This window comes from Homo sapiens, chromosome 4 (assembly GCF_000001405.40).
Source record: "Homo sapiens chromosome 4, GRCh38.p14 Primary Assembly".
NCBI lineage: Eukaryota > Metazoa > Chordata > Mammalia > Primates > Hominidae > Homo > Homo sapiens.
In genome coordinates this window covers 10,630,093-10,649,856 of record NC_000004.12, presented here as the reverse complement: position 1 = coordinate 10,649,856, position 19,764 = coordinate 10,630,093, and the positions used below count along the sequence as shown (strand labels likewise).

The window sequence follows — 19,764 nt, the reverse complement described above, 5'->3', positions numbered from 1 at the left end:
TACAAATTAACCCATGGGAATTCTTTGAGGCCTGGGTTGAAATTGTGCTCCCCCAGAGAAAATTTGTATTTGTTTTTTGGGGTGCCTAAAGGAACTATTAAAACAGGCCTTCCTTACATTACTCAGATTGAAGGTTTCTAGACAATCTAGGCTGGAATCCCATGCATATTTGTTAATTCTCAGGAGGAAATTTTGTCCCTTAAGTATCAATGTTTGAGAGTAGAGAGGTAGGCTTATTTCTAGTTCACCCTTACCCTGAGAGAGCAGCTCTTTAGGGGCCAGTTTTACACACAGGTGGGCCTCCTATTAGACTCCTTTCCGTCACTCTTCTGCTAGATTATTCCACAGTGTAGAATATGTGAGCTTTGTATCAAGTCTCCCATGTTCTGCCAGGCCATGAAAATTAAAGGCCATTTTCCTCTGTGTTGGCAAAGCAACCAAGGAGAAAGCGATTTCAGTTCTTTGCTTCTCTTTCTAGGTTCTCATCTTTATTCACCTTCATTTAGATTTTGGACTCTCTCTGAATAGTCCCTGCTTTTGGCATCTATTAACTGAAAATTAGTTGCTTAAAAAACTTTGCTATTGAAGGTTAATCATGATATCTGTTTATTATGCTACAAGAAATAAACAATATTCTCCCTGTGGAATTCAATTTTTTTATTTTAATAAAATTATAGTTAAAATAGAAGGAAGTAGGATTTTACGTTTTTCATTCAATCATTGGTGCTCTTATTTTTACGTAAAGAAAAGTAACACATCTGTTCTTTGCTTAACGTGATTCACTAACGTTTTACAAAGGCACCTTCAACGAGCATGAATTAAGCTCTTACTGCATGCCAAACTTTGTGCTCTTCCTATTCAAATACATTATCTCAATAGATTTAATCTTCAGAGATAAAGGATTCAAGGGCTAATCTATATATTAAGATGCAAAAACCAGATCTCCCTGGTTTGAGAGATGAAAGAGTGGAATGAGCACTGACCCTCTCATTGTCAGGGAAATGTGAAGTCGATAAGATGCATGAGATGATTGAGATAACTTTGAGAAGAATTTTATTAGTACTGAGCTTCTGTGTTCTTTCAAGCTTTGGGCATGAATGTCTAGAAGAATGGAACAAAGGGGAAACCATTGACTCAGAACCAGAAAGCCAGAGCCCTCATTTTCTCTCCACCTTTCACAAGCTCTGTGAACCCAGGCAAAACCTTTACTCTGTAAGCCTTGGATTTCTTCATCGGAAAAAGAAATACTATAACTTCTACCAATTTTCTCCACCATCTTTCATATGACCATGCTTGAAGTAGCAGAACATTTGATCATGAAGATAGATGACTATGGCTGCTGTGACAAGAGATTATGTGAGAAGAGATTAAGCCTTGAAATAAACCAGACCACAGTTCCAATCTTTTCTCTGCTAGATAAGAGTTACATGATATAATGTATGTAAAGCACATGAGAAATATGTGGCATTGCATGACACTTAATTTTTAGTTCTTTGATCTTGGAGTCCTAAGACAATAACAGCTCCAGCATATAATAGCATTTGAGACACAGATAAATTGGTCAGTTTCATCTATTACATAAAAGAGATAATAATATATGTCTCACAAGACTGGTCCCCTGATGCCACTTGAGATAGTACATGGGAAAGGTCTTAATCACTTCAAAAGGACTATAAATATGAGGTATCTCATTACGTGGTAACTTGTACATTGAGATATTTAGCTAAGAATATCAGTAAAAAGATAGGGAGTCTGTCCTATAACACCAGGATGCAAGTGAAATACGAGGCATGATTCCAATTTTTTCTGGTTTCCAGCCTATGTAGAAGGTGAATCTTCAGGGTCTGTTAGTGTCCAGAGATGAGTCACAGTGAAATCAGTGGATTTGACACAATTAGTTGTAGTGGAATGAGCACTGACCTAGAATCTGGAAATCCCGGTTTCAATTCAGAATCTATGGCAACTTTCTGAGGATAAGAGGAGGAGCATCTATGGGACTTAGGGCATAATATATCTATGTTTATCGGTCTTGCATAGCCATCACCTACAATAGTGTCTTTCATGGGTCAGCTGAATGAACAAGTGAAACATTTTTTTTACAGTTTGTTTTCCCTCTGTAAAATAGTGATCAAAATGCCTACCTCTTGGAATTACTTGGATATATAGGAAAGGCCTCACCCAGGACATAGTGGTTACTTAATATAGAGTACTTCCCTCCCTGAACTGCTAATAAGAATCTCATATCTGTATCCTAGGTGGATTTAATATGACTTCTTTTTCTACAAGTCAGAGCTCAATCATATGTCCATAAAATAAGTGCTCTTCCAACTCCAAAAAGCTATGTCTTAAATTCCCTTCTTGTTCTTCACTGGAATTAATTTCAACAAATAAAAGAAAATGAACAGATTCTGCTGGCAGAACTCAAAATCCAAAGGAGACTCATGTATAACTATTTCCCAGTCTTCAAAGACTTCAAAATCCACCAGCTCAGATGCCTCATAAAAAGTAATAATATAGAAGACAGAAACTGAAAATGTCCAAGGACCTCCAACAAGCCTGAGATTCTGTGATAGCAGGTACTAAGTCCCCACTTTTCACCAGATAGTCACAGAGGGAAATGGTTGAGAAAATGAATGATCTCTTGATACATAACAAGTTTTTGTGGTAACTTCAGGGCCAGCCTATGATGAGCTATGATTTCTGTATCACATAGAGACTGGACCCACTTAGTAGGGGTTAATGAAGTAAGACTCAGCCCCTATCCCTGAGTATATGAAAGTCTATGGGGGTCTGGAAGGCACACAAATGACAGCATCGCCTGGGAAACACAAGGATAGAGATGTATACAATGTTCAGTGATGGCAACAAAAAGAATGTGGCAAAAACCTACCCAAGGATAGGCTGTCTTGAACACATATTTCTTCAGTGGAGTCTTAACAGCAAAAGTCTTGGTTCAGCAATTTCTTCCTGTTGCCAAATCTATGGCTGTGAAATCATGCACAGTTTGTTCACAGAGTTGCTCTAGGAACATGTGCATAAAGTTGATCTTAAGGGATAATGAATAGTTAAGAATAATGGTTTGAATGTGGGTGTTTGCTCTCCTGCGGAATATAGGCAGTTACATTTACCCATGATTATGTTCAGGCTTACATACAAGGGAAAAAAAAAAGAGCAGGTGAGAGAAGAAAGCCCTTCTCTATCTTGATTGCAGTGTGGCTGGGACGTCGCACTCTGTGCCAAGAAGCACACAGCTTGGTGGCCCACTTCTGTCTTCTCCATTTCTGTCTTTCACAGGCCAGTTTCACTGGCACTGAGGAATTTCTTCCTGGCAAAATGAATTTTCTTGGACGCATCTGCTCCAAAGCTGATAATATGTCTTGGAAACCCGTTATCAGGCCATTTCTCTTTGCACATCAAATCTTGGGTCTATTTCCTGAGCTGACACATAAGTAACATAGACTGACCCTTAAAATGCCAAAGCTCTCTGGATTTAAAAATAAACCTTAACCTTACAAAATTCAGCCTTTAGTTCTCTTTTGGGTTGTGTTTTATTTAAAAGAAGCGTTCAAGTTAATGGAAATGAAATTAGAATTTGAAAATTTTTCAAACTTGTTAATTGGTATATAATAATTTTACATATTTTGAGAGTATGGGTGATATTTTGATACAGGTATACAAGGCATAATGGTCAAATCAAGGTAATTCACATACCCACACTCAAATTGAAATTTAAATTAAATTCCTCCATAACTTGCTCACCCACCATTGTTAACATTTTGGTGTTATTTCTTTCCAGGCTTTCTTCCATTCATAATGTTAGATTACCCCCATATATAAATCATATTTTGCAAAATTGGGATTTTACTGTTCATATGTTTTTGTAGCTGCCCTTTTTCCTTAATAAATAATGGGCATCTACTTGGATACATAAATAGAATTCACAAGCCCATTAAAAAATCAAGGTATTTGGGATATCCATCACCTCAAACATTTATCTTTTCTTTGTGTAGGGAGCATTAAAATTCTTCTCTTCTAGCTACTTTGAAATATACAATAAATTATTGTTAACTCTAATTTCCCTACTGTACTCTTGAATACTAGAACTTACTTCTTCTATCTAACTGTATTTTTGTACCCATTAACCAACTTCTCTTCAAAGGAGGTGTCTACACATACAGTTTTAATGAATGTTTATCTATGTGTGCATATGTGCCATTTTGTAAGTACCTACTACGTACCTGGTACATATATTATGGTATAAGCTAATCTTAAATATTGAATAAGATTAAATATATTATTATATTTAAAGTAAATGATTAGGCAGTTAAGTATGTAAATTCCTGTCTATCTGACTTAAGCACTTGTGTCATTTCTATTTAAGCATGGAGATTTATAAGGTTCTTACCCTCCGAAAGGAGAGGAATGGATATTTCAGGATGAGTATAGAATCTCAAAACAATAGGGTTAAAAGTTCTCTTAAAGCACATTTATTCACTTTGCAGGCATTTAGTGAGCTCTATAGTATGGGCTGGGCAATGACTAGACTCTGGGGACAGTGACATGAAATGTCTCCCTCTGTCCATCATTATTCATTTATGTCTTCACATCATACTATTAGCTGCTAGAGGCAGCGAAGCTCAAGGCTGAGACATAAGATGGATGCTTGACATTGCAGGGGACAGCTACCTAAGGCTGGAGTGGAATCCCAGAGAGGAAGGAGATCAGGGAAGGCTTTTTGGAATAAGTATTTATTTTCACTATTCACCCCACTTCCTTTAATGACTCCAGGTCAACCCATAAATGTATTTCAAGATTCAATCACAGAAAGAGCAAACAGTATGTGCAAGTGCAGGAAGACACCGGATGCTTACCCAGCTATGAACTGGGATCTTCTAAGCCTTGAGATCTAGCTAAGATTGGCATAAACGCCCTTTTCATTCTTTGTAGAAATTTGAAGTCCTACTTAAGAAGTATATGAATCCCCAGCATAAGTATCCTCTTATAAATATCTCTGGTTCAGAGTGCAGGGCAGGAATTGAGAAGCAGCAGAAAAACTGACTTCACTCAATTTCTTGCTGAGCCATAATGAAGTCAGTGAGAAAAGGAAAATCAGTAATACGGATCCTGTTTTTGTTTTAAAATTTGATTTTTATTATGAATTGTTTGCATTAATGTTATTTTTTAAATATTGCATTCATTTTCATTACTGACATTGTTTGGTGCCCTCTTAAATTTTGCTATCAATGCAAGGGCCTCATGTGTCTCACCCTGTTCTTCTGCCTGAGCCTCTACTATATTCTGGGTTGCACAGTGTAGACCACCTGAGCTCAAACCTAGGCTCTGCCTTCTACTAGCTGGGAAAGAATTTACATGCGACCAAACCTCAGTGTGTCTCACTTTTCTCATCTATAAAATGGAGATAATAACAGCACCATATTTTTCAGTTGTGAGGTTTAACCAAGTCCATACATGGAATGTGGTAGGAGAGAACCAAACACCTAGAAAGAACAGTTGTCAGTTATTATGAAGGCACCTAAATAAATATGAGCAGTCATTGCTCTTTTGTCCTCCCCTCCCACTATAGCAATAACCAAGACAAGCAAAGCTTTGTCTTTGTATATAAAGCAAAGCTTGTGCCTGAAGATTTGGGAGTAATACTGAATGGAAATATGCTCTACACCTGAAACAACTTAAATCACCCAACAGACACATTCATTCCTTGTGACTACTTCCCACGAGGCTCCGCCCCTCAGTATGAGCCATACTCAGCTTCCTGACATTCCACGGGCTCCCCTTTCTCCCTTCACTAGGTATCCTTCTTGCCCCCTTGCCCCATGTTGCCCAAATTCGTCTCCATATTATGCAGAACACTTTGATTTTCTCTAGCCCTTTCTTCAAAAATCAGTTTCAGGCCTGCATGCATAGGCAAGCTCACTGAGATTCACAATAGAGAAAAGGAATTTCCATGTAACATGATCTAGGGAACTACAGTTATAAACCATCTAAGAGCATAAAATAATTGAGGAACATAAGATATTTGATGTGGTTTGGGCCCAAAGATGTCATGGTGGAATTTCCCTCTGGGACATTTGGACATGTATTTGTGACACTGAGAGTTTACAACTGAATTGGTATTTTGGCATAAACTAATTTTGAACTCTGACTGGGGGTATATTAGAAAGTGTGATAGTGTGACAGTCTCATGTGTGAGAGTGGGGATACTGGCGTAGCCCCTCCCTCATCCACCCTGTACCAATCCTCTGTTATTATGCGCCTGAGCGTGGCTGCATATCTTCTTCCCAGTGTATTCTCCTTTGTCACTTCAGCACCTATCCTTGTGGAAGCAGGAAGTTATGAGATAGAAGCAGCAGGCAAAAGAAAGGAAAACAGTCACTATCAGGCAACCATGATAGACTATTTTCTTACTTCTGAACTGTAGGCATCATCAGGACAAGGACTGTGTCTCTCTTGGTCATTATTTTATGCATCCCAAGTATATAACACCAACCCCGGTTCAGAGTAGACATCCAAGAGACATTCTGTTAATTGATTATTGCTAGAGCAATTGATTAAAAGTTGAACAGAAACTGAAGATGGTATCTCATGAGTGTGAAGTCATATGAGCTTCTTTCTCTGCAGCCATCACAGGGAGGAGTAAATATAAAGAACTATTTGTAACTTCCAGGAAGATTCATTCTTTTCCAGGTGACATAATTTAGAAACACAGCCAGCAGACAAAACGTGAAGGCGAGGGTCACACACAGCCAAGACCCAGAACACTTACATCCTGAAACTGAACCGCACGGTTTTAAGTATCATGTCTATTTTTCCATTTGTCTGTCTGTCTGTATGTGTGCGTATATATAGCCTGTTTTGTTCTAGGTAGATGCATCTGTCATCCATCAATACAGATTTACCAAATACCAACTAAGATAAGCATTAAAAAATGGCGACTTATGGCTTTGAAGCATTTAACATTTGAAATGACCATCAGTGTTCACTATTTTACATACCCTTCCCAGAAGCTCTAAAGGAATTCTAGGGCAAACATAATTATTACCATTTTAGAGTTGAGACAATGGAGGATTAAAGAAGTTAGATGACTTTCCCAGCTACCCAGCTATTAAATGACAGTGCACCCAGTGAGTTAGGTTGGGTCATTGTTGTTTACATTGTTTTATTTTTCCCCCTTTTTTGGCATATAGATGAGGAAACTGCAGGGCAAAGTTTTCATGACTTACCCACATGCATACAGGTCCAAGATGCACTAGCACAGACAGATGACCAGGTTTTTCTTTCTAATGCTCATTCTGTCTTCTCTCTCCTCATTCTTTCCTCCCTGCTTCTATCCTTATGGTCCACTCTGCCTAGAAAGACCTCCTCTCCCCAACTGGTCTACCTTTAGGGTATAAATTAAATGACTCTCCAGAAAAAAAATGTTCCTTATTCTCTGAACCTCAAGGAACATCCTCTCTGTGCCTGTTTTCTCTCCTTTGCATTGTTTCCTGTTGCCTTGGCCTTTCAATCAGAAGCTCCCTGAGGGCAAGTGCAATATCTCGGCCATCTCTGCATGATGCAGCACAATTCTGAGACTTGTCAGACATGTGGCAGGTGGAACTGGAGATGAAGTAAGAGTGTGTATGGCAGTGTATGCTGAAAATAGTAAAGGATGCTATGTATGTCCAATTTGTGTATTTATTTTTACTTTGATTTATGCCTTTGCCTTTATTGAAATTGACTTACACAGTTTGTTTCTCATACATTAGGTAGGTGTTTTAGTCCATTTTCACACTGCTGATAAAGACATACACGAGACTCGGTAATTTATAAAGAAAAAGAGGTTTAATGGACTAACAGTTCCACATAGCTGGGGAGACCTCACAATCCTGGTGGAAAGGAGAAAGGCACACGTTACATGGTGGCAGGCAAGAGAGAATGAGAACCAAGCAAAAGGGGAAACCCTTTGTAAAACCATCAGATCTCATGAGACTTAATCACTACCATGAGAACAGTATGGGGGAAACCACCCCCATTATTCAATTATCTCCAACCGGGTCCCTCCCACAATACGTGAGAATTATGGGAGCTACAATTCAAGATGAGATTTGGGTAGGGACACAGCCAAACCATATCAGTAGGAGAGTTGTATTTTTGAGAGTGCCAAGTTAATGGATGATGTACTTGAAGGATGCATTTTTGTCATTTATGTGTTTACTCACTTATTCATTCAGAAGAAGAGGTCTGAAAGCTAAGAGCTGTCTATATGCAGCACTCCCAGCAACTGGGGGAATACATCTCTTAGTCCCAAAGGGGTTCTGGGCAGCACATCACAGTACAGTATCCACTACAGTCTTGGCATAACGTCTGGATTCTATCCCAAGGGCAATGGGGTCTCCACTGGAGTGAGAGTATTTTCTGCAGTTTACCCTTCACTCCACATAAGCTCCTCTTCCTGCTGAAGTCATTCTGCATCCTTAGTGCAGACCCAGATTATTAGAAACCCCAATGATGGGAACCACCTGCTGTCTCTCTACCTCCACTGAGGCTACTGCTTCAACCAGCAAAACCCCAGTAACAACATTCCCACTCCCCATCCCTTTCATACCAGTCCTCCAGCCCCAGGAGGCCTGTGAAACCCCACTGAGTAAGCCTCCCCACACCCCAAGCAAAACTCCCAGCCTCCCTCCAACTGTCCCTCAGGAGGCCTGTTCTTCTCTACTTAAGGGTCGAAATCATGCTAGAAACTTTAAACATGACTCCCTGTATTCTCCCACAGCTAAAACACACCCAAGGCAAAAATCCTACATTCTGATCCAATGCTTTAATTTTTTTACATGAAAAATAGCCCTGACATGCTCAGCGGTTGAGGGTTGGGCAAGCTTCCAGAGGCAGCTACCACAAGGCCCCCTTCACTGTGGCTTCACTTCTAGCTATAGCAAAGGTCTGCCTCTGAAGCTTGAAACACAGGCTCCCAGGTGAGCACTTCCTGCTGGCTTCCAGCATCTGCTTTTCATCTGCCTATAAGTAGGTTTCACGTTGCTGTTTATAGTTCTTGCTACAAGGACAGTTCCTGGGCAAGGAAGCAGAAGCCTGCGGTGCTTGGGAGAAGGCAGAAGTGTGATGATGGAAGAGGAAGAACAATAGTAACAGCTCACACTAGTGCAGCCCTTCCTAGTCTGCATCTCAAGTCTGGTGATTTGAGTAATAGCCTGGCCATAGGATCCACATTTTGTTAAGGAAGTGGAAGTGAAGAATGTTCATGCGGTTTCCTTAATGTTGCACAGCAGTTAGCAATAGAGGAAGAATTATAATACACAAGGTGTATGTGTGTGTTATGTGTGTGTGTGACACAGAGAGATACTTTTAAGACCTCTTCAAAAATGTTAGTCCAGGCCAGGTGCAATGGCTCACGCCTGTAATCCCAGCACTCTGGGAGACTGATGCGGGAGGATCACCTGAGGTCAGGAGTTCGAGACCAGCCTGGCCAAAATGGCGAAACCCCTGCCTCTACAAAAAATACAAAAGTTAGTTGGGCGTGCTGGTGCATGCCTATAATCCCAGCTACTTGGGAGGCCAAGGCAGGAGAATCTCTTGAACTGAGGAGGCTGAGGTTGCAGTGAGCTGAGATCGTGCCACTGCACTCCAGCCTGGCGACAGAGTAAGACTCTGCCTCAAAAAAAAGAGACAAAAAAAAAAAATGTTAGTCCATTGTCCTCCTCCATGCAACAATGCCCTAAATAACCTCTTTGGCAGAGGCTTCAGAAACAAGAAGCATACTTATTGTGTTGAAAGTTAGACTGTAGTGTTATTGATTCAAATGACTGAAGAACAATGATCCACCATCAAACTGAAAATAGAAAGTAGTGTGGTCTAGGGAAACAAAGCCCAGACATTAGAAATTAGGCACCTCTGGAGCTGAGTCTTAGTTATATTCCACTTTATGTGCGTCATGGAAGAAATAACTTCACATTGCAATGCCTCCAGTGATTCACCAATGCAGTAATTTCTTTCACAAGAGAATATTTGTCAGGCATTCAGAGCAGCACCACCCAACAGACCTTTCTGTGATGATGGAAATGTTCTAAATCTGCACTGTCCAATATGGTAGCCGTTTGCCACATGTGGCTACTGAGAACTTAAAAATGTGACTAGTACAACTGAGGAACTTAATTTTTATTCATTTTTAAATGTTTAATTAATTTTAAGTTATATTTAAGTAGCCACATGAACTCATGGCTACCATATTGGAGAGTAAAAATCTAGAAACTGCTAATTCATGGTCTTATTTGTTCTCCATGACTTATATAAAGCAGAAAATCTTTTCGTTTTGTGGATGAGGAAACTGAGGCCCAGAGGAAATCCCACTAGGCTCTCATAGGGGTGTCTCATGCCATTAGTTGGTTCCCAAGCTGAGAGCTATAGGCAGCCCCCTCTCACCCAGCCCAGCAGGACATATGCAAGCCCTAAAGCCAGTTGATCATTGCCTGAGCAGAGAAAGTGCTTTGCACAATGAGCCAAAGCCACTGACAAAGCATTATTCATTGTGTCAGTGCTGAGGCATCCTGTCTAAACAATTTCTGTCACCAGCAGGAGAGGCTGGCTGGGTAAAAGACTCAGAGCCATTCAGTCAGTTTCATGCAGCCTTACTCAGCAGTGCAAGAAAGGGCCTGAAACTTGACATTAGACTCTTTCTGTATTGGCCAGAAATGTCTCTAACTCGCCAGGTAAAGAATATTCTGAAATGCCCACTTCAGTACAATGATTTGGGGTCTTAAAAGATGTCTTCTGGAAGGCGTCTGATATGAGCCAAACTGTGTCCCATAAACATGCATATGCTGAAGCCCTAACCCCCAGCATCGCAGAATGTGACTGCATTTGGAGACAGAGGTAACTAATTTCAAATGAGACCATTAAGTTGGCCTCTAAGCCAATGTGACTGATGTCCTTATGAAAAGAAGAAATTTGGGCACAGACGTTCAGAGGGGACCATGTAAAAACACAGAAATAAGACAGCCAGCTACAAGCCAAAGAGAATGGCCTTGATCCCAGATTTCTCGCCTCCAGAATCATGAGATAATAAATATCTCTTGTTTAAGCCACCCAGTCTGTGGTTCTCTCCTATGGCAAGCCCAAGCAAACTAATACAGTGTTTATTTGATAAATCTCTCCAAATGATTCTAGCAAGAAACACAGGTGGGCAACTCTAGCTTTAATTCATCAAGGAATGACAATCATAGTAACACCAGTGTCAATAACAACCACAAAAAATGAAAGCATTATAGATTTTCACAATTAATATACCACTGTCACACACATTTTCAAGTTCACAGAGTCTATATTTAATAAAGCCGAATCACAAATTCTAGTTCCTAGACTCCTCAATCCTGGGCAAATTCCATGTCATCATTTCATATATCTGCTTTTCGCCAAAGCCACCTTTGATTCAGGGTGACCATATTGCCCAATTTTCCTAAGGCTGTTCATGTGCATGCTGTTTTCCCAGAGTAATTATTAGTAGAGCCCCCTTTCACTCTCAAAAGCATCTGGATGCACACAATTTATTACACAGGCATCCTACATATAAGCTACATTTAATAGTGAAAGTTTTCCCAGGGTGGTTACGAATCCTGAGTAGAGCATAGTGGCTGTCAGTATGGTAAGGAAATGTCTCTCTGCAGTCGGTGTTCTCACAGGCACCCCTGTGGGTGCAGACACAGGCTGAATGTCAGGCCGTGGTGTAGAAAACATGGTACAGTTCGGGGCTACATTCAGGAGACCAGTGCCTTGGTTTGGACCTGCCACTGGCTTGCAGGGGGAGCATAGGTAAAATGAGACAATTAAACTAGATGACCCTGTGCTCACTCCAGCTTTAATTTTCTGGTTAATTCAATAATCACTTAATGTGTTTAAGGGACTCTTTAAGAGAGTAGGCAATAAAAGAGGAATGATGGGCCGGGCGCAGAATGATGGCTCACGCCTGTAATCCCAGCACTTTGGGAGGCTGAGGCGGGTGAATCACAAATTCAGGAGATCGAGACCATCCTGGCTAACACGGTGAAACCCCATCTCTACTAAAACTACAAAAAAAAAAAAAATTAGCTGGGCCTGGTGGCGGGCACCTGTAGTCCCAGCTACTCGGGAGGCTGAGGCAGGAGAATGGCATGAACCAAGGAGGCGGAGCTTGCAGTGAGCCAAAATCACACCACTACACTCCAGCCTCGGCAAGAGAGTGAGACTCCGTCTCAAAAAAAAAAAAAAAAAAAAAAAAAAAAAGAGGAATGGTGGGCATGTTCCAGGAGCTGGGAGTCTTTTGGAGAGGTAGGACATACATGTGATTCTAATGTTTTGCTCCAAAACATCTGAAGTATGTATTAATTTGTGACAGTAAGAAACAACCCTGCCAAAAAAAAAAAAAAAACTTTTTTTATTGTTGCTTATCACATAAAGGTCTATTTTTTGTTCTCACAAAGCTTTTTGTGAGTACAGCAATTCTCCAGGGCAGATATCTTCCAAGCAGTGATACAAAGGTTCCAATCTTGTAGCTTCCCCATCTGGAACAGGCATCTGAGGCTGGAGATGGAGAGCTGGGGAGTGATGGGTACAATACACTCCCTTTTGCTCAAGCCCCATTGTCTGGAACTATTTGCATGGCCTTGCCTGAGGCTGGGAAATGTGGGAAAGTACATGGGTCTTCAATAAGCAATAAATGTCTTTGATGAGCAACCTCACAGAACCCAGAAAATGATAGAAACATGTTTATTTGCTCTTCTCGTGTCCTTCTTAGCAGCCTCTGCAGTCTATCTGCAATGGGCACTCGGGAGGCCCTGCTCCATACTGCAACACCTGTGTGCACAGAGCCATAGTGCCCAGCCCCTGGGGTTTCTCTCCTCAGAGTCACAAGTGTACTTGGAATTCAAAGAATGAGAGGGAGGCAGATATTTACAGTAGAGGGATATATTGTCATGATAGATGCTCTACTCTGAAGAACTGGGAAGACTTAAAAGACCTCCCCTACAAAAGCTTTGGTGGGAAGGACAAAGTGGGTGAGCAGTGACCACACAGCACCTTTAGAAGGCAACCTCCATCCTTCCAAATTCAGTTGCAATCAAGCATTTCAACCTCACAGATACAATGTCCTGCCTGCACACCCTAGCTCCAGACACATTCCCAAGTGCACGGTATGAGAGCTGTCTCCATGCCTTGGCGTGCTGCTATTCCTTCTGCTACACCCTCCTTCCCTCCTCCCCTCCCCTCTACCCAAGACCACTCAGGTCCCATGATTCATTTGCTTATATGTTTTCCTAGGACTGCCATAACAAATAGCCACAAACTGGGTGGCCTACAACAACAGAAATGTATTTTCTTACAAATCAGGAGGCCAAAGTCTGAAATCAAGGTTGTGAGCAGGGCGATGTGCTCTCTCGTATCTTCCAGTATTTGCTGGCTGTCCTTGGCATTCCTCCCCTTGCAGCTGCATCACTCCAATCTCTGCCTCTATCGTTACATGGCCATCTTTTCTCTCTGTGTCTTCACGTGTGTTCCCTGCTCTGTGTGTGGTTCTCTCTGTGTCTGTTCTCATCTTATAAAGATACAAGTCATATTGGATTAAAGACCCACCCTACTCCAAGATGAATGGAACTTATATCTTAATTACTTCTGCAAAGACCCTATATCCAAATAAATTCACATTCACAATACCAGGGGTTTGGACTCCCAACACATCTTTTTGGAAGACACCACTCAATCTTGACAGTGTTTTGTAAGTCTACCCAGCCCCCATCAGGCAGAATTACTCCCTCCCACCTCTTGTCCTTATTAATCATAGATCGTCTATTTTGAGTATAGTGTTTGTTCCACGGCAGGAGTTAGTGGTTTGCACATCTCTCTTTCCCACTTTGTGAGAAAAGCAAATTGCAGAGAACGCGTCTTATGCACCATTTGCATCTCTCTAGCAGCATTCTTCACGATGCCTGATGCTGTGCAGAAGAGCGTAGTCTAGAAGAAAGAACACGGATTTTGGAGACAGGCATTCCTCTCAACCCCAAACCTGCCATCTCCTAGCCATGTAACTTTGGACAAGGTATCTAACCTATAAGCTCTTTCATGTCTTCATCTTTGAGATGGAATAATAACCCAATCCAACCCATTTAATTCATGAGAGGAATTTATTGGCTTAGAAAACTGAGATAGTCTAGAATGTATCTAGATTCATACAGAGCAATATGCAAAGATTTAAAGGACATCAGCAGGTCCCTCTGTCGCTCTCTTCCATTTTTTTGCTGATACTCTGCAGTATCAGCTTTATTTTCAGACAGTCGCTTTCCACATCCAGCACAGATGGTGGAGAGTATCTAAGTATATATCACTGGGAGAATATACTATCCCAAGGAGAGAAAAGGCCTCCTCTCTCTTGGCCAGAGCACGTACTGTACAGCTAAATTCTGGCCAAGAGATTAGTGTCAGAGGTGGACAGGGTCGATCAGTCTCTGCCGTAGGAAACGGGGCAATCTGATTACCCAGGCAGGATCTCCTGACACTTCACTGTCAGGAGAGGCAGAACATGTGACTGAGAGCCCTACCAGTTGAGGAAGTTGCCAGTCACAATGGGGCAGTCAAAATGAGCAACATATGTCTAATACGGAATGTCGGAAACTCAGGAAAAGCAGAAAGCTTCATAAACCTGTTGTAGTATCCAAATTCTCTCACTAAATTCTTGTCAAAATACTGAATGCTTAAATAAGTAAATTAATATAGCACTTGACCAGTTAGTAAAAATGTCATCAATCTAGAAACCAGGTTAGAAGATGCTTCATAAGATTGTTATCTCTTTTGAAAGGGGAAATAGCCAAAGGGCTGTTATAATGGGAAAAGCCCTACACCTGGAATCAGGAGGGCCAGGATGCCCACCTGCTCTTCAACTAAGGAGCCATGCAAGGGGGAGAGGCCTTTTCTCTCTCTGGTCCTCAGTTTCTGCCCAGAAGTCCCAGTCCCAGTCCAACTGCTCATTTTACCAAAGATTTTTTTTCCAGCAATGATATTCTCAGATCCTTCCTCACCTCTAATGACTTTCACTAATCTGAATGAACCTGAAGGGAAAAGCCAAATTGTTCTCCAGGAGGTTTCCATAGGAGGGAAGCAAAAAAGCTTCAGAAGCCTGAGCAGTGACAGGTATTTCAAAACACCGAAGTTAGACTGGGAAAGCTGGAAATGCAGAGGTGCCTCTGAGAAGCAATAGGGCAACTGAAAGTACTTAGAGTAATTAGCGCTAAAAATTCAGTCTTTCGGTGCACAGTGTAAGCCCAGTAGGCAGAATCCAGGCTGCTGGGTTCTTTGCTCTTCCTTAGATCAAATGTGGAGAGGTAGAAAGCATGAAGCTTGAGTTGCAAGGGAAATGACAGGCAAATGAAATAAAGAGAACTAATTAACTTCAGCCTCATTCCCCAGATTATGAAGAGCCGAGCGCACACAGCAAGCTGGCTGGGAAGCTGGGAAACAGTGGGGTCTCCAGCCTTGCCCACTGACTCGGTGCTAACGTGGGGGACACCTCCCAAAATGACCACCCAGGTGTCTCCTTTTATATCCAAAACTTCCTTTGGAAAAAGGCCACTTTTTCAGGGCAAATATTTAACCTTCCTCCCCTAGGCTCTACTCTGTGCCCCTTCTCTTCTTATGGGCCTTACTAATGACCCTGATGGACTCTGTTTCTCTTCTCTGAGCTCTGGCACCTTAAAAATGCAAGTATTATCCAAGGGGAGTGACTTCAACATGATGACAAAGGGAATGGCTCAGGGTGAGCCCATCAGTCTGCACCCAGCTCTACCTGTGTGATCTTATACAGGGGGCTTAACTATGCTGAATCTCATTTTCCTTGTCTGTAAAATGGGAGTTCTCATTCTGACCTCACTAGTTGGCCTAAGTATTAATGGGAACTCAGTGCATAGCTATTACCATTATGCAACTGAGCACCCAACATTGTTTAGCCTTTTCCAGTACAACCAACCACAAAGGGCTGATATAGGGAACAAATGAAATATTGTATGTGAAAGTGCATAACAATATCTAGCACTGATTATGGCAATAGTATGATTGCCAATTCTATTACCATTATGAGTGACAGATTCTGTCTGCTTCTGTATATACAGCCAAATTACATTTGTACTGTTTGGAATGGTATGGAGCAGTTATAAATGAGTGAAGTACAAGGATGACAGAATTCTTGCTCTTTGGAGACCTTGCAGATAGACACCTACGAGCATTGGTTCTAGGCTCAGATGTTCCTGGATTAGGCATGGGTCTCTGTCAAATTGCGTCTCTCGTTTTCTTCACCTGCAAACCATGATCACAATTAAATTCACCATATAGGGAATGGGAATTAAATGGGAGAATGTAGATGAAGCGTTAACCTATCATCTGGCACAGAGTAAGCGTTCAATAAATCTGTGCTTGCATCAGATGCTCTGGGAAAGCTGCAGCCCATCAGTCGCAACAAAGCTGATGAAGATGGTAACACATGCACAAAGAATAACGCTGTCGACTTGAGAGAATGCACATTCTCTAAACTTAAAAACTTTTAGCTTTGATTCTAGCAGGGAAAGGAATTTCCAAATTTAAAATTTTCCAGGCCAGGTGTGGTGGCTGATGCCGTAATCCCAGCACTTTGGGAGGCCGAGGCAGGCAGATCACCTAAGGTCAGGAGTTCGAGACCAGCCTGACCAAACTGGCCAAACCCCATCTCTACTAAAAATACAAAAATTAGCCTAGTGTGGTAGCACATGCCTGTAATCCCAGATACTCAGGAGGCTGAGACAGGAGAATTGCTTGAACCCAGGAGGCAGAAGTTGTAGTGAGCTGAGATCACGCCCCTGCACTCTGGCCTGGTTGACAGGCCTCAGTCAAAATAAGATAAAATGCTTATCTTTTCTCTGTCTCAAAATAAGATAAAATGCTTCTGTTATGAGTTAGCTAGCAGCCTCATCTGCTTATTTGGGCCAATTTTGAGGTATTTTTAAATAGTATTTAGTTCCTAATACATGACGAATGCAAAAGTAGTGAGAGCATTGAAAATTGTGCAAATGAAAATTGAGAATTTTTCTGTGAAAACTGAATAAAAATGACAAAGGTAACATGGGTGTGTGGCATGATCTTTTCAATAGTAAGAACATTCTTGAAGACAAAGAGAAAGTCTGTTGTGTTTAAAAAGGGGGGCAATGTGCACCAATGGCATTTAGCAAGAGATGAGCTGAAGTGAATGTCAGGCACTAGGCTAGACCTAGGGGTACAATGATGCACAAAAAAAGATGACCCTGCCCTTGTGGCATTTCAACTTAGTACAGGAAATGAATATTCCACAAATAGTCACACAAAGGTTGTAGATGTTAAATGAAAGTTGTATAGTCTGATATGCGTGGGATACTGTGCATGTTGCCTGGGCAGAATTAGAAGTCCCTCCCCCTCTCCTGATGTATTCCTGTTGAATTCCTGCTAAGGGCTAAGGACATTGTCTTCACATTTTGTGGGCTTGGAGATAGAAAAAGATGATGGTGGACATGGCAGAGGTCAGATGGAGAGAGGTGGAAAGACTCAAGATAGTTTGGAGGGAAAATCTCCAGCATTGGTTATGAACTGGTCCAGAGGCATGAGATGGTCAAGGACGATGCCTGGACACTCGTACTGTACAACTGGGGAAAAGAAGTTGCCATTCACTGAACCAAGGAAGTCTGGGAAGATGGAGTTTTGAATGTTAAGAGTTACGTTTTGGATATTTTAAATTTTACATGCTTATCAGTCATCCAATTAGAGATAGCAGGTAAACACCCTAGACAAGAGCTATTCATGCCTTCAGCCACCATGTTATACTGCAACTCAATCTGTAAATCAGGTAATGCGCACCTTGAGCCTTCTATTTCAGAAACAGGGGTAGGTGTTTAAATAAAAAGACAGACCTCAAAAAAAGACATATTTGAATCCTTACCCAATTGTCCAATAGCTGTGTGACCTCTGAAGGAGAATTGAGAAAATCCTTTTGCCTGTGTGAGCTTCACTAAAAAGTAAAGGTAACTTCTATGTCATAGAGTTGCTTTGAGACTAAAAAGAACATTTTCTAATTGGCAGACACTACAGTTGAAATATTTTCCCTTTCACTTGTTCGTTTCCCTTTCTCTCCTCTATATCTTGGTTACTTGGTAATGAGGCTAGAATGAATTAATATTAGACACGAATCAAAGATTACTGAAATTGTTCTGTAATGTTTAAAATTATTTGCTTTACCCCTAGTTCCTGACCATTGCATATACATGTCTAGATTAACTGATTGATCAACTGCCTATCCACCAAGGGTCCTCATCTTATTTTCACATAATGCAAAGATCTGCAAAACTTACAGCTGCCTGTAATTGTGATCTTTCCTCCCCTGTCATTTCATTTCTTTCTTTCTTGGTCTGAGCATCTGGGGCAAAGGCAATATTTCCTCTCCCACCTATCTCTGGTTTCCAGCCTTCTACTTACCGAGTGCCACCTATCCTAGAACAGAACATCATTAAATGACTTCCCGCAGAAGGCAGCTGGAGTACTCAGCCTTTATGAGAGAGGACACATACCTTAGACACTTGAATGTGCTTTTCAATCAATATGCTCTGGGCAGCAGTCACTCAGACTCTGCCTAGAACCTGTAGAGCTCTTCGGGGCTGACCTCACCATATTTACCCAAAGACTGCTAGACATCAGGAGGAGCAGGAGAGACACAGAAGGCCAAAAGAGAAGCTTTCTTTAAGCTATGCAAGTGGATCCAGAAATGCTGATTCCGTAAAGCAGCACTGGCATTTGGTGCCATTGGTCTGTGGCAAAAAGTCAGGGAATCTCTTCCTTTGTGTTTCTTTTTCATACATTCTGTAAATAATATCAGTACAGCCCTTATTTATTTCTCCATCCATTTATTCATTTGGCAAATACGCCTGGAGATAAATGGCTTGGTGTAATGAGAGAAACGCCCTCAATCCTGCTTACCTGCTACAAGCAGATGGACATCACAACACCTATAGGGCAGTGGTGCCTACCTAGCACAGTGACCAGGCTGTGGTAAGTACCTCATAAGTAATGGCTTATTGTTATAATTGCTGAAGAAATGTACAAATTTATGAATAAATGAAAAGATGGACTAAAAATTGATGACTGAATGAATGAGAAAGAAGGATGCTCAGATGGTGTAGATAGATAGGAAATTGGAATGAAGTGGACTTGGGGAAAGGTATATAAGCCTTCCCTCTCCCTCTATAGTGCTATAATTAATTTTATTGGCTCTTCCCCTCCTAGAATTCACAGCCTATTTGGAGAGACAGTGGCTCCAAAATTTTTGAATCCACAACACATAGCCCAGAGTTTGGTGTAGAGTGAGCAGAAAGAGTGGAAACGACTCTGAGCTTCTGGCTCATTAGACACAAGTTGGAATCCCAGCTTTGCCTGTGAGAGCCTGGGCCAGTCCTTTGACTTTCATGAATCTCCATTTTTTTCCATGAGGAGGGTGACAAGAGCTTATCTTCAGAATGGTCACAGAGTCCAATGGGTACAAATGCGTGTCATAGTAACTTGCCGATCATCATGTACTATAGAAAGGCAAAGTTGTTCAAATAAATTATCAGGCTCAGGAATAAACAAACAGACAACAAGCCAGATTCAATTCCAGTCTACAATATTTCATCAGTGTCCACAAGACTGAGGAATCTTTGCAGACAATAATCCAATTTTCTGGAGTAGGAGCATAGTGAGGCT

General features: G+C 41.3%; 1 protein-coding gene across 3 annotated transcripts in view; it reads left to right on the top strand.

The window, feature by feature from the left end:
* Positions 1–19,764, top strand: part of CLNK (cytokine dependent hematopoietic cell linker) — a 248,452-nt gene that overhangs the window by 84,990 nt on the left and 143,698 nt on the right. The gene's annotated exons all lie outside the window — the stretch shown is intronic.